The 22,681-nt window shown below is 41.7% G+C and overlaps 1 long non-coding RNA gene across 5 annotated transcripts in view; it reads right to left on the reverse strand.

Annotated features, from left to right (window-relative positions):
* TMEM254-AS1 (TMEM254 antisense RNA 1) overlaps positions 1-22,681 on the reverse strand; it is a 32,961-nt gene that overhangs the window by 8,746 nt on the left and 1,534 nt on the right. The window contains exons 2-4 of one of the 5 annotated variants that reach the window (NR_027428.1): positions 5,812-5,955; positions 1,341-1,427; positions 938-1,148 (exon numbers count right to left, since the gene is read on the reverse strand). This is a non-coding gene — a long non-coding RNA (TMEM254 antisense RNA 1). The remainder of the gene's footprint in view (positions 1-937; positions 1,149-1,340; positions 1,428-5,811; positions 5,956-22,681) is intronic. The other 4 variants (NR_027431.3, NR_027429.1, NR_027430.1 and 1 more) reach the window with 4 other exon arrangements.

Consider the following 22,681-nt stretch of genomic DNA (forward strand, 5'->3'; position numbering starts at 1 on the left):
ACTACAACCCAACAACAAAGAAAAAAAAACCTGATTTTAAAATGGGCAAAGGACTTGAACAGATATCCCTCCCAAAAAGGTATATGAATGGCCATTAAGCACATTAAAAATGTTCACCATCAATAATCATTAGGGAAATGAAAAAAAAAAATCAAATCCACAGTGACACATCATCTCACCCCCCATCTCACCCCATTAGGATAGGATGGCTACTGTCAAAAACAAAAAAAAAACCCAGTAAGAGTTGTCAAGGATGTGAAGAAATGTAAAATGGTGTGGCCACATGAAAAACAGTATGGTGGGCCAGGCGTGGTGGCTCATGCTTGTAATCCCAGCACTTTGGGAGGCCGAGGTGGATGGATCACCTAAGGTCAGGAGTTCGAGACCAGCCTGGCCAACATGGCAAAACCCCATCTCTACTAAAAATACAAAATTAGCCGGGCATGGTGGTGTGCACCAGTAATCCCAGCTACTCAGGAGGCCAAGGCAGGAGAATCCCTTGAACCTGGGAGGCAGAGGTTGCAGTGAGCCAAGATCACACCACTGCACTCCAGCTTGGGTGACAGAGTGAGACTCTGTCTAAAAAAAAAAAAAAAGAAAAAGAAAAAACATTATGGTGGTTTCTCAAAAAATTAAATATTATTATATGATTCAGCAATTCCACTTTTGGGTAAATACCCACAATCATTGAAAGCATGGACTTGAACAGCAATTTGTACACTTATGTTCATAGGAGCATATTGTTCCCAATGCCATGACCCAATATAAAAACTTCCCAACATTTCTAAAAAGCAAATGTGCACACGTAACACTTGTAAAAAACATAAGTTTTTTACGATAAACACTCAGTTCCTATAGTAAAAACAGCAACCAAACCAACTTGCTTTGTATGGCCATAGACCCACAGTGAGGAGCAGGACCTCTGGAGCCTGCCTGCCAGTGATTAAATCCTGGCTCTGAGACTGACAGGCCACAGTGTAGCACTGACTGCCAGTGCCCTCCTGGGCTACTCTTCTTGTCTCTGGCTGCTCTCCAGGCCCTGGGATGGAGGCCATTCCTATGGCATCTTCTTGGAGGACTTCATGTTCTAAAGGCATCACAGTTGAGCCATGATTGCTTCCAGGGCTCTTTGATGCAGATTCTTGCCTCTGAAATATAGTGATGAGCCCAGTGGACTTCTGGGCCCACTGTATATTATCGGGGCACCTTTGACTTAGGTTATTACTCATTAAACACAACGTATTAAGATACAAGGCACCGCTGGAACTAACCGGAGACTTCTCTCAACCAGGGCTCATCTAGAAAAAGAAATCCAGAATCCCCATACTTTGCAAGCCCACCTTCCCAGAGAACAGGAGTGTCAGTTTCTTCCATATCCCAGGTTTGAAAAGCTCCAAATTATTTCTGAATTTCATGAAATATCAAATCTGTGAACAAAAGGGAAAAAAATGCCTAGGGCCATTTCTACAATTCTTCCAGTATAGCTCTTTTGCTTTGAGGACGTTTTTGTTTTCAGTATTCACCCTGTTTACATTTAACCATACAGGAAAGTAGACGGAAGCGTATAATTAGCCTGATGATCTTATCACTGAAATTTAATATATAGCAATACCTGGCCAATTTTATCTCCTTGACACCCCACCCTCATTATTTTGAAGTGAATCTCAGACATGTCATTCACCCGAAAATACATCCATATGTATCTCTAAAATATAAAGTCTCTCTTAATGCTATGATGGGTTAAGATTTAAATACCTGAGCCTCTAGTAAAATCCTATACCCAATTCTACCATACGGCAACCACACACAATTACTCTGATGAAATCAGCTGTTCCCAGCCTACAAGCTTGAACTTTTGAAAGGTGAAAGTCAGGCCTAGCAGGGTGGCTCATGCCTGTAATCCCAGCACTTTGTGAGGCTGAGGTGAGCAGATTGCTTTGAGTTCAGGAGTTTGAGACCAGCCTGGGCAACATAGCAAAACCCTGTCTCTACAAAAAAACCAAAATTAGCCAGGTGTGGTGGTGCATGCCTGTGGTCCCAGCTACTTGGGAGGCTGAGGCTGGAGAATATAGCTTTGAGTCCAGGAGGCAGAGGTTGCAGTGAGCCAAGATTCCCCAACTCCAGCCGGGGCAACTGAGTAAGACCCTGTCTCAAAAGAAAAAAAAAAAAGTGAAAGCCCAAACACCTATTAATACAAAACACTAATGCATTAGGTAAGGAGCCTCCTGCAAAAGAAACACGCTTTGGTGTCCACCACAGAAACTCACCGTTGGAAGTTCAGATGAATCTCTAGTCCAGGTTCTGAATGATAAAGTGATTAACTCTGAAGCAGCAATCATCAAACATAACCCTGAGACGCCCTCCCTCACACACCCTAGACACAGCCCCGCCCCAGACACAGCCCCACCCTAGGCACAGCCTTGCCCTAGACACACCTCTTGATGGCTTTACCTAACTTTTCAAATCCCATTCACTCAATGAGCACCCAGTGAAAACAATTTGCTTATTTAATCCCTACAACACCCTTATAATGTGCATCCTATTTTAATCCTACTTAGACTTGAAGACAGGGGGACAGAAAGGTTTAGAGCACAGAGTGAGCCTCTGACCCAGGCAGTCTGACCTTGAACCTCCTGCCTGTGGCCATCACTTTCACATTTATAGACTGCACGCTCTGTGAGGACGGAAGCCTTGTCAGGCTCACAGAAGATCCACATCACCTGATATATCATTGCTTACAGAATACTGAGATTGGAGGCAGGAGTGACCAGAGATTAACACTGAATAAGGACATTCTAAGATATAAAACTAATGTTTTATAAACATTAAACCATTTGCTAATTCATCTTATTCTAAAAACTACCCTATGAGATACCAAAACCTCCATATTACAGACAAGGAAACTGTGGGCTTTTCTGCTTTTTTCACAACTCTAGGACATTGTACTTTCCCAAATGTGTGGAATAAGGTAATAACACTTGGAGGGTTTTTTGTCCTCCAGGTTTGGAAAATGCAGCTCATCCTCGACAAGTGTTTTATATTAATCCATCTTAATTCAGAGTGATACATATATTCTTCGTTCTACTTAAACTAATTGCTACAATTTATGAGGACTCATTATATGGCCGGCCCAAAGAACAGAGTTTTCAGACATTATCTTACCTAAATCTTACAGTGCCTTACGGAGATATATATTATTATACAGATGACTACTGAAGCACAGAGAGATTAGCTAATTTACCTGAGGTCAAACTCTAAGAAGAGGAAAATAACTAGCAGGAATTAAAGCAGGTGAAAATAAAGTTTGAATTGGGCAAGGTAATGGCTGACTTGCAGGAAGGAAACAGCCCCAAATGATTTCGGTTTCTCACTTCATTCCAGGGTGGACCGCGCCTCTGCAACAACAACAACAACAACAGAAAAAAAAAACAGGAAAAAGCAGGAGGAACAACTCGTGGTTTTCTTCATTTCCGCGCAAGGATGGTTAACATAACCTCCTTTCATCCTGGGACTCCAGCAGGTCCTTTCAAGCAGTGCCAGATGCTTTGGGGTAGTTGAAGAAATATTTTGGGAGCTGGAAGTCTTGGAGAATATCAACGACTGAGAGAGTAGAGCAAACCAAAATTAGATTGGGCCTATGCTGAGTTCTTTGGCTTTTTTGTCTTCCCAGTAATTCGGGCCCGCTTTGTGGTTGTTGATTTATTATTTTTTGAGACCGAGTCTTGCTCTGTCACCCAGGCTGGAGTACAGTGGCAGGATCTCGGCACACTGCAAGCTCCGTCTCCCAGGTTCAAGCAATTCTCCTGCCTCAGTCTCGCGAGTAGCTCGGATTACAGGCACGCGCCACCACACCCAGCTAATTTTTGTATTTTTTGTAGACACTAGGTTTACGCAACTTCGCCGAGGCCGGTCTCGAACTCCTGAGCTCAAGTGATCCACCCACATTGGCCTCCCAAACGCTGGGATTACAGGCTTGAGCCACCACGCCCACTCGTGCTTTATTCTCAGTAACCTTGAAATCACACTAGGTGGCGACCTTCCCCGTCCGCCCCCATCAAGCTGCTTCCAAAAACATTTTTACCAGGCACCTTCACTTTCTTTCTTTTCATTCTTTTCTCAACTCCAGTCTCTCTGTTCTCACTGCATTGTTTAGACATCATTGGTAAAAGTTAACAAATCAGGTCCTAAATTGCCCGATCATACGGTTAATCTTCTTTCCTAAGTCATCGAACATTGTTAGCCAATCTTTGTCTTCCTTGAAAGCTCCCCTACTTCAGATTTTTTTTCTTCTTGCTGTTGCCCAGGCTGGAGTGCAGTGGCGCGATCTCGGCTCACTGCAACCTCCGCCTCCCTGGTTCAATCGATTATCCCATCTCAGCCTCCTGAGTAGCTTGGATTACAGGCGCAAGCCACAACGCCCGGCTAATTGTATTTTTAGTAGAAACAGGGCTTCACAATGTTGGCCAGGCTGGTCTCCAACTCTTGACCTCAGGTGATCCGCCCACCTCAGCCTCCCAAAGTGCAGGGTTACTTACAGGTGTGAGATTCTTTCCTTTTTTTTTTTTTTTTTTTTTTTTTTTTTTTTTTTTTGAGACGGAGTATTGTTCTGTTGCCCAGGCTGGAGTGCAGTAGCATGATCTCGGCTCACTGCAACCTCCACCTCCCGGGTTCAAGCAATTCTCCTGCCTCAGCCTCCTGAGTAGCTGGGACTACAGGTGCCCGTCACCACGCCCGGCTAATTTTTTTTTGCATTTTTAATAGAGACGGGGGTTTCACTGTTAGCCAGGATAGTCTCGAACTCCTGACCACGTGATCCAACCACCTCGGCCTCCCAAAGTGGTGGGATTACAGGCGTGAGCCACCACACCCGGCCCTGGCCCAGATTCTTTATCAAGCTCGGCTTTGGTGGATGTCCACTGAGTCCTTAATCCTTTTTCAAAATATCGCGAAACAGTAAGGGCCCAGCTTATACTGAGTGCTATGTATTGAGACCTGCAATGCAGCTGTGAATAGCACAAATGCAGTCTCTGAAAATCAACGTTCTGGTGAACTTTTAAAAATACGTAACTCCTGGCCGGGCGAGGTGGCTCAGGCCTGTAATCCCAGCACTTTGGGAGGCCGAGGCAGGTGGATCACGAGGTCAGGAGATCGAGACCATCCTGGCTAACACGGTGAAACCCCGTCTCTGCTAAAAATACAAAAAATTAGCCGGGCGTGGTGGCGGGCGCCTGTATTCCTAGCTACTTGGGAGGCTGAGGCAGGAGAATGGCGTGAACCCGGGAGGCGGAGCTTGCAGTGAGCTGAGATCCTGCCACTGCACTCCAGCCTGGGCGACAGAGCGAGACTCTGTATCAAAAAACAAAACAAAACAAAACAAAAATATATACATAGCTCCCAATTATCACCTGCAAAGCAAAGTCAGAATGTATTAGAATGCCTGGCAGGGAGTTTCATGACCTAACTACTATTAAACTCCCATTCAGACCAGGAGTGGTGGCTCACATCTGTAATCCCAGAATTTTGGGAGGCCAAGACAGATGGATCACTTCAGGTCAGGAGTTCGAGACCGGCCTGACCAACATGGCAAAACCCCGTCTCTACTAAAAATACAAAAATTAGCCAGGTATGGTGGCACATGCCTGTAATCCCAGCTACTCAGGAGGCTGAGGCATGATAATCGCTTGAACCTGGGAGTCGGAGGTTGCAGTGAGTTGAGATAGTGCCACTGCACTCCAGCCTGGGTGACAGCAAGACTCTATCCCCTCCAAAAAATATTTTTTAATAATTAAAATTTAAAAAAAATTATACTACCATTCAGCTTCGCCTTTGAGACTCACCACCTGCGAAATCTTTGTTCTAATAACCAGCCTTGTCCATTTCTAGGTGCTGAGATACTCTCGGCCCTCTTGGCTTCGTCCATCTGCTTCAGATGCCACAGAAGAGTTCCAAGTGACTCTGGAAAAAAAAAACACTTTGACCAAAACAAAGTTATCAACATGGCAATTTGATTTTAATGGTTATCTGGTTAAAATGAAAAAGACATCATTAGCAACAGGTGTGTAAGATTCTAGTGTTCTGTAAAATGATCTTGTTTTCCTTAAGTGTTCTTTTTTTTTTTTTTTTTCCAGGGTTGGGGGCAGGAAATTCCCAGCTTTTGGGGACATTTTTCCCCACTTTTTGGATACAATGAATTCATTGGATACAATGAATTCATTGGATACAATGAATGTTAAAAGTTCCATTAACTTAATGTCCAAAAGCAAGTTTAGTCCTTTGGTTTCCCTACTTCAAAATGTAGCATTTGCCTTCTTCATGACCAAAAGTAAACATGTTTGTAAAGCTATTTATCATTACTATTAAAGCTTGACAAAACCAGTGAATTTGGCAAATCAGTGATTCAGCAAATTGGCTTTCAACACATTTTGTTGATGATTTTATGTCAATTGACTATTCAATACATTTATATTTTCTCAAACTGAATTTCAGCTACTTGTCTGCTTCTTTCACATCACAAAACTTATTTCACTAAATTGTAACAATACAGAATAACTAACATTTATTATGTTTTTAATTTGTGCCACTTTTAAGCTAACTGCTGGCCGGGCCTGGTGGCTCATGCCTGTAATCCCAGCATTTTGGGAGGTCGAGGCAGGCAGATTACTTGAGGCGTGAAGTTCAAGACCAGCCTGGCCAACATGGCGAAATCCCCATCTCTACTAAAAATACAAAAATTAGCCGGGTGTAGTGGCACACACCTATAATCCCAGCTATTCAGAGGCTGAGGCACGACAATCCTTTGAGCCGGGGCATGGAGTTTGCAGTGAGCTAAAATCATGCCAATGTACTCCAGCCTGAGTGACAGAGGGAGACTCCCTCTTAAAAAAAAATAAGCTATTCACTTTCCAAACATAGATATATATGTTTGAAAAGTGATATATATACATATTATATATATATATATATATATATTTTAAGTTATATAGGTCAAATTTCTGCACAAAATCTAATTATCATCATTATCATTATTTGAAGATTTTTAGGAAGGGCAAACACACCCTGGTTTCCTCCCTTCTACTACAACACCCTCGTGGATTATCCCTGCCCCCTCATTCATTAATTCAATGCTCTGAGAACATTTCTGTTTGTAATCTTTGAATACAGAATCTCATAAGTGCTAAATAGAAACCTGTATTAAAACATTATTATGCTGCCTCTAGTAAATTCTTTTTGATTATTCCGTTGTCTGTCATATGAACTACAGTATGCTCAACCTGAGATAATTTGTCTTGTTCGCAGTTGACTCTACGAAAAGAGTCAAACTCTGTAAAACATTTGAAGAGATTTATTCTGAGCCAAATATGAGTGAACATGGCCTGTGACACAGCCCTCAGGATGTCCTGAGAACGTGTGCCCAAGCTGGTCGGGGTGCAGCTTAGTTTTATACATTTTAGGGAGACATGATAATTCCATCAAGTATATTTAAGAAATATGGCCAGGTGCAGTGCCTCACGCCTGCAATCTCAGCACTTTGGGAGGCTGAGGTGGGCAGGTTGCTTGAGGCCAGGAGTTTAAGACCAGCCTGGCCAACATGGCAAAACCCTGTCTCTACTAAAAATATAAAAATTCGCCGGGCATGGTGGCATGCGCCTGTGATCCCAGCTCCCAGGTAGGCTGAGGCACAGGAATCGATTGAACCCGGGAGGCAGAGGTTGCAATGAGCCGAGATTGTGCCACTGCACTCCAGCCTGGGCGACAGAGCAAGATTCTGCTCAAAAAAACAAAAACAAAAACAAACAAACAAAAAAAAAAAAACAGGAAAAGAAAGAAATACATTGGTTTGGTCCAGGAAGGTGAGACAACTCAAAGCTGTGGGTGTGTGTTGGGGGGTGCTTCCAGCTTATAGGTAGATTTAAAATTTTCCTGGTTGACAATTGGTTGAGTTTATCTAAAACCCTGGGATCAACAGAAAGGAATGTCTAGGTTAAGACAAAGGATTGTGGAGACCCACATTCTTATTTACAGAGGAAGCCTTAGGTAGTAGGTTTCAGAGAGAATAGGTTGTAAAATGTTTTTTATCAGACTCAAAGTCTGTGCTGATGTTAATGTCAGAGACGTATAACAAGGCATGTCTCACTGCCACTTCCCATCATGGTCTGAAACAGTCTCTCAGGTTAAATTTTAAAAGAGCCGTGACTGAGGAGAAAGTACATTCAGATGGTTGGAGGGCTTTAGAATTTTATTTTTGGTTTACATTCTCCCCCTTCTGGCCAATATTTACCAGAGGCAACATCAAAGGCCATCAAATCTTTATTTTGTCCCATAGCATTGCCAGGGTGGCGTGGCTGCCTGTCCCCCATCCATCCTGTCCCTTGGTGGGACTTCCTATGGCTGAGGGCCTTAAGAGTCAAAAGACTGGCCAGGCGTGGTGGCTCACACCTGTAATCCCAGCACTTTCGGAGGATGAGGCAGGTGGATCACCTGAGGTCGAGAGTTCGAGACCAGCCTGACCAACATGGGGAAACCTCATCTCTACTAAAAATACAAAACTAGCCGTGCGTGGTGGTGCATGCCTATAATCCCAACTATTCAGGAGGCTGAGGCAGGAGAATCACTTGAACCCGGGAGGCGGAGGTTGCAGTGAGTCGAGATTGTGCTATTGCACTCCAGCCTGGGCAACAAGAGCAAAACGCCATTTCAAAAAAAAAAAAAAAAAGTCAAAAGATTTGTAGCCAATTAATTGTACTAGGCCAGATAGGAATGGACGTGGACAGGCATTCATTACCTCTTAAATTATTATTTTAAGTAAAACGCCAACAAACAAAAACCTAAAGGCAAAGCTGCAACACTGACTTATTTCAACTTCTATGTGTTGAGCTACTGTAAGCTTGGTTTTATAGACTTACAGCAATTAGCTATATAAAACATTGGCGATGTTCTGAGAAAATATTTTAAATATGTATATGTATATATATGAGAGACAGAGAGATTTATGTTCTCAACTCATAACTGGGATAACTATACCCAGGAGGCTTTGTTGTAAGGTATCTTTATCCTGTTAGTAAATATTTTCCTTTAATTTTACAGGAAGCAAAAATTTATTGGCCGGGTATGGTGGCTCATGCCTGTAATCCCAGCACTTTGGGAGGCCAAGGCGGGTGGATCATCTGAGGTCAGGAGTTTGAGACCAGCCTGACCAACATGGTGAAACCCCATCTCTATTAAAAATACAAAATTAGCTGGCTGAGGTGGTGAATGCCTGTAATTCCAGCTACTCAGGAGGCTGAGCCGAGATCACGCCACTGCACTCTAGCCCGGACGACAGTGCCAGACTCCGTCTCAAAAACAAAAAGTATTTATGTTTGGGGTGGATGCAACAGTGACACATAATCATTTAGAAGGCAAAGTTCCTTGTTTTACCAGCTGTTGAGGCATCTTTATACTCCTCCTTGATTTGAAGGGTTTGACCTTGACCTAACTTGAGCCCTCAAAACTGGCTCTTACAATCTCATGTACCCAACTCTTCCACAACCCTGGGTCTAGAGGGAGGGTGCTTGTATAGTTTTAGCAGCAGGGCATTTGCAGTGAAAAACACACTGGGGCCCAGTGGGATGCCAAATGAGGGAGATTCACATCTCTGGTCTTCAGAATACCATGATTTTGGTTTCCTTGGCAATAAAACAAGGAGAAAGAAATAACGTTTATAGTTTCACAATCAAAAGAGTATTTGTGTGTCACAACAGAAAAAGAAACTTATTCCATTAGGGCACCAGCTAAAAATATGAAGAAAAATTATCATCTGGTATCTCTAGAGGATTATCGTAGCCAAGAAATAATAATTCAATCTGAACTCAAAAAAGCAAAAGCTAGGTCTGAAATCTAGCATTAACTGTTACACTTTTCCTTTGAAACAATTTCTCTAGCCTCTTTTTTTCTATTAAGGAGAATTTATACTCCTTAAACACAAACAAAATTTGTGTGCAAAGTAAGTTTTAGGCTTATTATACTAGCCTGATTATTTGCATAACATGCAGCAACAATCGATTGGCCATATAGGCTCCTTTTAAGTTGGCTTTGCTGGAACTTTACCTAAAAATATGCTACTTTGGTTGGGCGTGGTGGTTCATGCCTGTAATCCCAGCACTTTGGGAGGCCAAGGCAGGTGGATCACAAGGTCAGTAGTTCAAGACCAGCCTGGCCAATATGGTAAAACCCCATCTCTACTAAAAATACAAAAATTATCCGGGCGTGGTGGCACGCTCCTGTAATCTCAGCTACTCAGGAGGCTGAGGCAGGAGAATCACTTGAACCCGGGAGGCAGAGGTTGTGGCTGCTGAGCTGAGATTGTGCCACTGCACTCCAGCCAGGCGACAGGGCAAGACTCCATCTCAAAAAAAAAAAAAAAAAAAAGCTACTTTAGTTAAAGTCTTGGTAAGATAACGAGTGTCTTCAATTGTTCTGTTTCAAAAGACTTACTGAACTTATCCAAATAACTGTATTGTAATAAAACTACAATCCAAATTTTGAAGAACCTAGATGGAAAGGTAAATTTGCTTACAAAAACATACTTCTCCCGGCTGGGCGCAGTGGCTTACGCCTGTAATCCCAGCAGTTTGGGAGGCCAAGGCAGGAGGATCGCTTGAGTCCAGGCTGGGCAACGAGGCAAAACCCCATCTCCACAAAAAATATAAAAATTATGCCGGTGCAGTGGCTCATGCCTGAAATCCCAGAACTTGTGGGAGTCCCAGGCCCGTGGATCATCTGAGGTCAGGAAGTCGAGACCAGCCTGACCAACATGGTGAAACCCTGTCTCTATTAAAAATACAAAATTAGCTGGGTGAAGTGGTGCATGCCTATAATCCCAGCTACTCAGGAGGCTGAGGCAGGAGAATCGCTTGAACCCTGGAGGCAGAGGTTACAGTGAGCCAAGATCATGCCATTGCACTCCAGCCTGGGCAACAAAAGTGAAACTCCGTCTCAAAAAAAACAAACAGTTAGCTGGGCATGGTGGCACGCACCTATAGTCCTAGCTACCGGGAGGCTGAGGTGTGAGGATTGCTTGACCCCCTGGGATGGAGGCTGCAATGAGCCGAGATGGCGTCACTGCACTAGAGCCTGGGTGACAGAGCAGGACTCTGTCTCAAAAACAAACAAACAAAAAACATATTCACCCAAATAAGTCAAAAAGAAAAGGATTTTCTTGACCCTTCTTTAGGCAGAGAAGCAGCTTTCAAACAGGATGTTTGTTTACCTTGGAAATGCCATTCACAAATCAAGCAGCTCATGAGAGCTGTCTATCAGGCACTATAGAATCTAGCAGCTACTCACAGAGTTAGAATTAGTCCTAAGAAAGGGGCTCCCTGCTTATCAGTATCTCCTCCTTATATCCCAAGGTAGCAAGATTCTATATAAACCATTTTTATTTTAGCATGGAACTCTTTTGGGGACCATTATTTCTATTAGCATAGGGTGTGGATCACATGAGGCCAGGAATTCAAAACTCCGTATCTACTAAAAATACAAAAATTAGCCGGGCGTGGTGGCTAACATCTGTAATCCCAGCACTTTGGGAGGCAGAAGTGGGTGGATCACCTGAGGTCAGGAGTTTGAGATCAGCCTGGCCAACATGGTAAAACCCCATTTCTACTAAAAATCAAAAATTAGCCGGGCATGATGGCAGGCACTTGTAATCCCAAACCCAGGAGGCAGAGGTTGCAGTGACTGGAGATCATGCCATTGCACTCCAGCTTGGGTGACAAGAGCGAAACTCAGTCTCAAAAAAAAAAAAATACAAATATTAGCTAGGCATGGTGGCACATGCCTATAATCCCAGCTACTCGGGAGGCTAAGGCACAAGAATCACGTGAACCTGGGAGGTGGAGGTTGCAGTGAGCCAAGATGTTGCCACTGCACTCCAGCCTGGGCGACAGAGGGAGACTCTTTCAAAAACAAACAAACAAACAAACAAACAAAACCCATTAGCATAGGGGTGGCTTCAATTAACATTCCCTAGTAAGGCAATAAATGCCTCCCAGGTGGATATTCTCTAGTTCAGTCATTGTCATTGGGAAGTACTCACCGTCTTTTGCCATCAATCCCAATAAATGCTCCACAAAGGGCTATGAAGTAGAGAATTTGTCATGACTAGCACTCTAGCTTCTACTCTATGCTTTGTGGGCTCAGGCAATCTTACTAGTTCCCACATGCAGAATAAAAAAAGGCAGGTCCAAAGATATTTATTTGCCTATTGTCAAAAAAAAAAAGATTATCTCCCTTACTTTAGATAATTAATAAAAAGTTACAGGAGCCAAATAAAAGGCAAAGGAGAGATTAATCATCCAAGGCCTTTTCAAAAGAGAAAGAGCTGAACTTCTGAGATATCAATCTGAAGAGTGTCAAAAAGATAGATTATAGAATTTAAGAATTAAAAGCTTCTTGCATTAAGTCAATATTTTAAATAAAATCTTGTTTTAACCAATTATTTAGTTTTGTATTAGTGGTTTTGCTAATGAGTACTAAGCTCTGACTTTTTTATTTATTTAAACATTTTTTATTTATTTAAACATTTATTTATTTATATAAAACCCACCCCAAGAAAGAATGATCTTTGCTTGTATAATTTTTGATAAATAAGACAATAATTTTTGATAAATAATAAACTAAAAAATTTATTTTTATTATTTTATGCCCAAATTCCTATCTAAGGGGTCTGTGGAGTCATGCCCTCAGATAGGTTTTATTTAACCCTATATATCATGATTTATTTTCCAACTTGACTCTGGCATAACATTAAGAGACAAAGAAGAAAATCAAACTATTTTACCCTAAAACGTGTTTCTTTGCCATATTTTGAAATGGTCCTGCAAAGCTGTTCTTTGTGGGGGAAAATTTGCATCTGTAAAGAATCTCTATTAACATAGCTAGATCTTTTTCTTCCAGACCCTCCCAATCCTAAAGAGATTAAGATCTGAATAGGAAACATTTTTCACCTATTGTCTCTAAGGCAGCTACAATAAGACTTCAAAAGAACTTTGGTCTCCAGTATCTTTATCTTAACCTGAACATTCCCTTTCTATCTATACCAGGTCTTTAGACAAACTCAACCAACTGTCAACCAGAGAATGTTTTAAATTCACCTATAACCTGGAAGCCCCTGCTTTGAGTTGTTCCATCTTTCTGGACCAAACCAATGTATTTCTTAAATGTATTTGATTGATGTCTCATGCCTTTCTAAAATGTATAAAACCAAGCTGTGCTCCAACCACCTTGGGCACATGTTCTCAGGACCTCCTGAAGGCTATGTCACAGGCCATGGTCACTCATATTTGGCTCAGAATAAGACTCTTCAAATATTTTATAGAGTTCAACTCTTTTCATTGATATTAATATCGAAGACCCATCTCTAGAAAGACTATCATAATTTCTTCTTAATCACAGCCAACTGAATTATATAACCCCTTTAAAAAAAATTAAATTCCTTTTTACTAACCTTATTATGACTTACATAGACCATTTACAACGTGCTTAGACTGTTTGTTTTGTCCTAAAGATCCCTCTTTCTTGAAAAACCAGTTATCTTATTTTAGGAAAAATTTACCATACAAGATTCTCATATAAAAATTTTTTTTCTTTTTACTTTCTTTACCAAAAATAACTCTTTATATCTGTAGCTTTCCTTACATCTCATATTTCCTAGTTCTGTTTACACTGTTTTATGCATAACCTTAAATAAGCTTTGAATTAAACAAAGGTATTTACCTTTTTTTAAAATTTTTTTTAAATTCTTTTTTTTTTTTTTTTTTGAGACAGAGTCTCGCTCTGTCACCCAGGCTGTAGTGCAGTGGCATGATCTCGGCTCACTGCAACCTGCACCTCCTGGGTTCAAGCAATTATCTGCCTCAGCCTTTTGAGTAGCTGGGATTATAGGCACCCGCCACTACACCTGGCTAATTTTTGTACTTTTAGTAGAGACAGGGTTTCACCATCTTGGCCGGGCTGGCCTTGAACTCCTGAACTCATGATCCACCCGCCTCAGCCTCTCAAAGTGCTGGGATTACAGGTGTGAGCCACCACATCTGCCATATTTACCTTTTAATAAGAATATTTTTAAAAAGTTTTCCTATAATTTTTAAATTGTAAATTACCCAGATATTCAATTAATACCTATTATTTAATATGACTTTAGATTCTAAATTTTATGACAAGTTTGTTTATAAGCATTTAGTCTATACATTTACTTGATTATCTAATAGTTTACCTAGGTTATTTATGAAAACAGTGATAGTCATCACTTCAAGTTAATTCTCTGTTAATTATTTTTATAGCTGTGAATTTCAGGTGTTTACTTAAGTAAGAAGCTTAAGGTTTAATATAAGGGTGTTTTTACCAATAACTCAGGATTTAGCTGTTTTCATTAAACCAACAATGTTTTGTGTCTTATTTATCAAAAATTATACAAGCAAAGATCATTCAGTTTTGGGCTGGGTTTTATAGTTTTATAACTCTTATGGTAAATCTTATAGCATTCTGCAGGAATAAAGCATGAAACCACTTGATCAATAAATGCAAACAAAAATACTAACAATTCTTAAGACATTTCTAGTATTATTTTACCAACAATTTTAAAGCAAGCTTATTTATTAAAGATTTTACTTAAGTCACATGTGATACAGAAGGGCTGGGCTCAGGGCTAAACCCCACCATTCAGCCTGGACCACGGCCCTAAGGGAAAACAGCTGACCCTGTTTTTCCACCTAAATAATGCCTTTTTGGCCTGCCACACCCCTATCCTGTGCCCATAAAAAGACTTCAGTTGCTAAAGAAAAAATAAAAATAAAAATAAACAGGAAAGAAAAAAACAAAGAAAAGAAAAAAAGATTTCAACTGGCAGAGCAACACAAGCAGCTGAGTGGTGGGAATACAAGTGGCTGAGTGGCAAGCAGAGAAGCAACTGAACATTCGAGACTATGGATAGACACGACAAACTTCAGATAGTGCGGCTTCAGAGAGCGGCCCAGCCAGAGACAGCCAGGCTTCAGGGAAAGATCACCTTCTTCCCACATCATTGCCTTTTCACCTCCGCATCCCGATGAGAGCCACTTCCATTACCCAGTAAAATCCTCCTTATACACTACCCTTCAATCCATTTGTGTGACCTGGATGTCAGACAAGAACCCAAGTGCCTAGAGGACAGCTGCTGCCACCCTGACCCTCCACTGAGCTAGCTGGCACTTGGCCATCTCTGGACAGCAGAGCTGAAAGAGCATTGATTGTAATATACTTGGATGCTGCTGCGGGGCCCACACAGAGCCTGCTCCTGCCAGAGAGGAGCAACTAGCCAGTTCCAGCATTTGTTCGCTCCAGTTCCTGCACTCACTAGCATGCATGATCCCTCTTGCAAGGAGTGGACAGCTGCTGGCTCAATGAAACCAGCCACTCCAGTTCCCACCCATGAAAGGGGTCAAGGGAATTATCCCATCTCACATGAACTTGAAAAACATTTGACTAGTCTTTTTTTTTTTTTGATAAAGTATTTGATTTAAGCACTTTCATTTTTCTTTAAACCACTTAATGCAAGCTCTTTTATATCTTTTTAGTAGTAAAATATTATATACACAACACAGAAATACATAGACATATTAGGCATACCAATAGAAGTACAGCTTACAGATTCATAAGACCTATTTTTTTTTCCTTAGACTTTTAAATTCTTGATAACCCATTTTATTACCCTAGGCAGTTTTAGCTAAAGTACTAAATTTGCATATTAAAGGAAACAACTCAAGTGAAAAATCAATTAGCAAAATTTACATCTCAAGAGGAAAAGTCAGGTGTGCTAGAGTGAAGTTAAAATGAATTTAATTACCAATTAAAATTATATAAATCTACTATAAAAGCCTTTTAAATATATATACACACACATATACACACATACACACAAAAAATCCCATAGCTTTTACTTCTGAACTTTAGTCATGAGATAAATACAAATGCACTGGGTTGAAAAAAAAAAAAAGTTTAGATCAAAAAGTGGTTTTAGGCCAGGCACTGTGACTCATGCCTGTAATCCCAGCACTTTGGGAGGCCAAGGCGGTGGACCACCTGAGGTCAGGAGTTTGAGACAAGCCTGGCCAACATGGCAAAACCCCGTCTCTGCTAAAAATAAAAAAAATAGCCAGGCGTGGTGGTGGATGCCTGTAATCTCAGCTACTCGGGAGGCTGAGGAAGGAGAATCACTTAAACCCAGGAGGTGGAGGTTGCAGTGAGCTGAGACCGTGCCACTGCACTCTAGCCTGCATGATGGAGTGAGACTCCATCTCAAAAAAAAAAAAAACCAGTGATTTTTAATCTCAATAGAAAAGTAACAGCAGATGTAAGTCAGACAGAAAAGAAAACAAAGAAAAGGAGAACTTAGGAACTCTATAGTTTGCAGGTCAACCTTAGGTCTCTTTTTCCTTAATGTAAATGTGCACAAACACCATAATACTTCAATTTCACATAAACTCTAGTAAGTAGAGCCACCATAATACTGATGGAGTGCCCAAAGGGGGTCATTCTCCTTGTTTTCTCCTCATACTTAGATTATTTGTTTCCCAGTATTTTTTAAAGGAGGAACTGAGCTGTGGCCTAGGGCTTTTGTGGAATGGGTGGAAGTGTGCTGGTTGCAGGCAGGACTCCACGGTGTCACCCCTGAGTCATCGTTGCCCTCTTATGTGTCTCAATTTCTCTCTCTGAAGCTCTAGCACCTCTCAGAGGGCTCAAAACCTGGAGCTCCCATACGTGCTTCCTGGATGAGCCTTTTTAAAACTAATTTTGTTGGGGGTTCCCTGTAGGGCTGCTGCGCTACATGTCATGATGGGTGGGTGAACCTCACAGACACTCCCACAAGGCCCCTGGTCACCCAGGGGTGCCTTTCAGCTGGGAGGAGTAAAATGCCCTTTCTCTTTGGAGCTAAGGAAACTCAGACTCTCATTTACCTACGAAAGCAACAGTTCAGTTTCTCATTCCATATCTTATTTATCAAAAATTGTACAAGAGAAGATTATTTGTTTTCTTTTTTTTTGTTTTTTGTTTTTTGTTTTTTTTTTTGAGACAGAGTCTTGCTGTGTCCCCCAGGCTGGAGTGCAGTGGTGCAATCTCGGCTCACTGCAAGCTCCACCTCCTGGGTTCACACCATTCTCCTACCTCAGCCTCCCAAGTAGCTGGGACTACAGGCGCCCACCACCATGCCCGGCTAATTTTGGTATTTTTAGTAGAGACGGAGTTTCACTGCGTTAGCCAGGATGGTCTTGATCTCCTGACCTCGTGATCTGGCCGCCTCGGCCTCCCAAAGTGCTGGCATTACAGGCGTGAGCCAGCGTGCCCAGCCGAAGATTATTCTTTTTTAAAAAATCTAGGTAGATGTTTAATTTCCTGGTTGACAGTTGTTATTGTATTTTTTATTTTTATTGATTTATTTATTTAGAGACAGGAACTCACTCTGTCACCCAGGCTGGAGTGCAGTGGCATGATCTCAGCTCACTGCAACCTCTCCCTCCCAGATTCAAGTGATCCTCCCACCTCAGCCTTCCAAGTAGCTGGCACTACAGGCATGCACCAGCACACCTGGCTAATTTTTGCATTTTTAGTAGAGATGGGGTTTCACCATGTTGGCCAGGCTGGCCTCAAACTCCTGGTTTCAAGTGATCTGCCCACCTCGGCCACTCAAACTGCTGGGATTACAGACATAAACCACCACACGCAGCCCTGGTTGACAATTGGTTGAGTTTATCTAAATACCTGGGATCAAGAGAAAGGAATATCTGGGTTAAGGATTGTGGAGACTCAAGTTCTTATTTGCAGAGGAAGCTTTCAGGTAGTAGGCTTCAGAGAGAACAGGTTGTAAAATGTTTCTTATCAGACTTACAGTCTATGTTGATGTCAATGCCAGAAAGGTATAATGAGGCATGTCTGACTCCCACTTTCAGTCATGGCCTGAACCAGTCTCTCAGGTTACATTTTAAAAGAGCCCTGGCTGAGAAGAAAGTCCATTCAGATAGTTAGGGGGGGGCCTTAGAATATTATTTTTGGTTTATATTCATATTTCCAGAGCCTAGCACCATAACTGACACTACACTGGTCTTCAGAAATTAAATTTTATTACTATTTTATTTTATTTTATTATTTTTGAGATGGAGTCTTGCTTTGTCACCAGGCTGGAGTGCAGTGACGCAATCTTGGCTCACTGCAACCTGTGCCTCCCGGGTTCAAGTGATTCTCCCGCCTCAGCCTCCTGAGTAGCTGGGACTACAGGCACGCGCCACCACACCCAGCTAATTTTTGTATTTTTAGTAGAGGCGGGGTTTCACCACATTGGCCAGGATGGTCTCCATCTCTTGACCTCATGATCCGCCCGCCTCAGCCTCCCAAAGTCCTGGGATTACAGGCGTGAGCCACCGCGCCCAGCCGGTCTTCAGAAATATTTCTTGACTATTTGAGTGAATGATTCCTTGGTTTCCCTACCTAAAAAATGTAGCATTTTCCTTCTCCATTCTCATTATACTGTTTCAATAATTTTTCTTCTTCTCCTCCTTCCTTCCTTCCAATTTTACCTCCATCCAATGTACACAAGATATGTTCACTCCACTAGTTAAAACAAACAGAGCAGGTATGGTTGCTCATGCCTGTAATCCCAGCATTTTGGGAGGCCAAGGTGGGAGGATAGCTTGCGCTCAGGAGTTCAAAACCAGCCTGGGCTACATAGCGAGACCCTATCTCTATTAAAAATAATAATAATAATAATAATAATAATAATAATAATAATAATTAGCTCAGCATGGTGGCCCAAGCCTGACCTGTAGTCCCAGCAGTTTGGGAGGCTGAGGCAGGAGGATCACTTGAGCCCAGGAGTTCAAGACCAGCTGGGCAACATAGGGAGACTCGTCTCTACAAATAATAAATACATTAATTAAATAAAACAAACAGAATTTCACTGACTCACCTTGGCTAAGGGATCAAATCAAAACCCCTCGGTTTGATACCAAATGCCATTCATGATCAGGACTCCACCTGTCTTTGCAGCCTCAACTTCCTTCACTCAATTTCTTCACATTGTTTTTTTCTAGCAACAAAAAATTTCTCCTAATTCCCTGGACACACAATATTCTATTCAAATTTCTGTAAATTTGTTTAGGTCGCCCTTCCCCCATCCTATAATCCTGGGAAGGTGTGGGAGTTTTTTGCTGTATCTCAGCACTTGTCCATCCTATAGCCACCTCATCATAACTCCCCAAGGAGGACTACTTATTAATACCTCTGTATCTCTTGATACTGCATCATTTGTGTATTTGTGTTTGGGAGTGGACAGTATTATTTAAAATATTTTTTCTGGAATAGATAACTAATTGCCCCAAAATAATTTACTGAATAATCCATTATTCCTTCCTTAATTTGAAATGTTACCTTTATTATAAAATAAACGCTTGGATATGTATATACCAGATCCATGTCTGGAGTCTGCATTATTTTTTCATTGATCCATTTGTTGATTTCTGCATGTCAAGTGCCAAATGTTTTACATTATTATAGCTCTTTACAGTGTGTCTTGATATCTAGTAGGCCAATCTTATGAGGAAAAACAATGTTATTTTTGCTTTATTTTGCGTATCCCATAGGGCCATTAAGATTGAACCATCCTTTCATTTTGCTTGGTCTCAAGTTTTCTCTTTTGAGGATGCCCAATTCATATCCTTTAATCATTTGTCAATTACATATATTGGAGAATTCCTTCTTCCAGGTATTTCAACTTTATTTACAGTGTCATTCATATGAATGAAGCTTTTCATCTGGATGCAGTTAAATTTTCAATCTTTCCTTCTATGGCTTTTAATTTTAATAACTTGCTAAAAGGTTTCCTTCCCCTCCCTCAAAAGTTGTAAAACTATTCTCCCAGACTTTCTTCATTATTTTTCATATTTAGGTCACTAATCCATCTAGACAGGGGGATAAAAATGTCCAGGGATGAGATATTTCTCTGCCAATTCAGATGGGACAGCAGTGTAGGGTGCCTGGACCTTAGAGAATTCAGTCACCCCTGCCGTGTGTGAAGGGTGACTGTAATGAAGAAAGGAATGCCTTCTGAACATCCAGTTGACTGTAAGTTCTTCATGAATTTACATAAACTACTCACATCTGAACAAAGATCTTCTGGTACTGTCTTCTGGATTCCTTATCTGTGCGTGAGGGGCTAACAGTAAGATGTTTAGTGTTGAGCTGTTGGTGGCCAGGTACAGCCTCTAACTATAATCCCAGCACTTTGGGAGGCTGAGGTGGAAGGATTACTTAAGGCTGGGAGTTTGAGATCTGCCTGGGCAACATAGTGAAGCACCGTCTCTATTAAAAAAAAAAAAAATAGTGTGGAGTTGGAAGACATAGGACACTAAGTAACAGGCTGGGCTCCAAGCAGGGTTGTAGAAGACATGAAACTAAAACCTAGCTCCCTGTAGTCTGTTGACTGAAGCCATTTTGCCTCTCCAACATTTCTTGTAGCATGAATAATTTCTCCAATATCTCCCTCGTTGCAGATTTAATACCTAAATAGAAATACTGAAAAACGGCAGCCTAAAATTGGGGAAGTTCTTGAAACTTTTGGTAAGGTAGGCTGGGTATGGTGGCTCACACCTGTAATCTCAGCACTTGGGGAAGCCAAGGCAGGTGGATCACCTGAGGTCAGGAGTTTGAGACCAGCCTGGTCAACATGGCGAAACCCCATCTCTACTAAAAATACAAAAAATTAGCTGGGTGTGGTGGCATGTGACTGTAGTCCCAGCTACTAGAGAGAGTGTGGCAGGAGAATCACTTGAACCCAGAAGGCCAAGGTTGCAGTGAGCTGAGATTGCGCCATTGCACTACAATCTGAGCAATAGAGTGAGACTCTGTCTCAAAAAAAAAAAAAAGTTTTGGTATGGTAAAGGCTTGATCAGAACTGTACTTGAAAAAGATGATCCTGTTATTTGTCAGACAGATTCAATAAAGGGACTGCATGTGGGCTGAAGTGGCAGGAAGTAGGAAGGAGTGACTGACTCATGAGACAGTGGAGATGAAGCCATGATTTAATCTAGAAGGATTAGATATTGTATTACCCAATCAGTAGAACTCTTGACAGCTGATTAGTCTGCAATCTTTATATGATATGGGGGAAGTCAAAGCAAGGAATCTGGGTACAAGGTAGAAAGAAAGTGCTGTTCACATAGAGTAGGCCGGGCGAGGTGGCTCATACTTGTAATCCCAACACTTTGGGAGGCCGAGGCAGGCAGATCACCTGAGGTCAGGAGTTCGAGACCAGCCTGGCCAACATGGTGAAACCCCGTCTCCACAATTAGCCAAGCGTGGTGGTGCACACCTGTAATCCAAGCTACTCAGGAGGCTGAGACAGGGGAATCACTTGAAGTGGGGAGGCAGAGGTTGCAGTGAGCCGAGATCGCAACACTGCACTCCAGCCTGGGCAACAAGAGCAAAACTCCATCTCAAAAAAAAAAAAAAAAAAAAAAAAAACCACAGACAGGGTAGCCTTGGTGAGGATGGACTCTGTGGATAATGATAATGGACTTCTTGTCTTTGAGGTGTGAGTAATCTTTGGTAAAGGTGACCAACTGGGAAGAGGTGAGGGCTGAAGAGATTATTTTAGTCAGCTGAAGGTGAAAATTGAATCTGATAGGTACTGAAAACACAAAGAAGATAATAAGCAAAACTTATTCTAGGAGAGAAGAAAGAAAAGGAAAGCTGAGAAAACAAGGAGTTATTCAGAAGGAGGAGAAGAATAAAGAGGGTGGTGTGATCAAGGATGATAAGGACTAAGAAAACACCAATTGTTACAATTGTTACTGTTAATCTTGATATTCAAGAGCACTGTGGTCTACCTGGGAAATGGATTTCCTCACATATTCTGAAATTCATTCTTTAAGACTTTATATCCCAAGATACTCACGTAAAAAATGAGGAAAGAGAACCTTGGTTGGTTCCAGAGTGCCCTCTCTGGAACTGGAACACTCAGCTGCCAATTGTTTTCCAGTATTCCTCACCCACTTGGGCATGACAGGACCCTGTGCTGTTTCTTCTTCTTTGAAATAAGGACAATAGTTTACTGCCTAGGATTGTTTTAAGAATTAAATTAGTTAATTATTGTATAGTACTTAGAACAATGCCTTGAACATAGTAGGTGTTCAATAAATACCAGCTACAGTATAGTAACTTTTTTTTTTTTTTTTTGACGGAGTCTCACTCTATAGCCCAAGCTGAAGTGCAGTGATTGGATCTCGGCTCACTGCAACCTCCGCCTCCGGTGCTCAAGCAATTCTCGTGCCTCAGCCTCCCAAGTAGTTGGGACTATAGACACGCGCCACCACCCCCAGCTAATTTTTTGTATTTTAGTAGAGACAGGGTTTCACCATGTTCTCCAGGGTGGTCTCGAACTCCTGAGCGATCCACCCACCTCGGCCTCCAAAAGTGCCAGGATTATAGGCTTGAGCCACTGCGCTTGGCCAGTAACCCATTTTTAAGGCCCAGGTGAAATAGTTTTTCTATTTCTATGATTTTCTATTTCTATGATTAAATAGTGTTTAATCAGACACTTCAGCTGCATATACCTCCCACAGCTCATTGATGATACAACAGTTCGCACAGGGCCTGGCACACATGCTAAAGGCTC

This window comes from Homo sapiens, chromosome 10 (assembly GCF_000001405.40).
Source record: "Homo sapiens chromosome 10, GRCh38.p14 Primary Assembly".
NCBI lineage: Eukaryota > Metazoa > Chordata > Mammalia > Primates > Hominidae > Homo > Homo sapiens.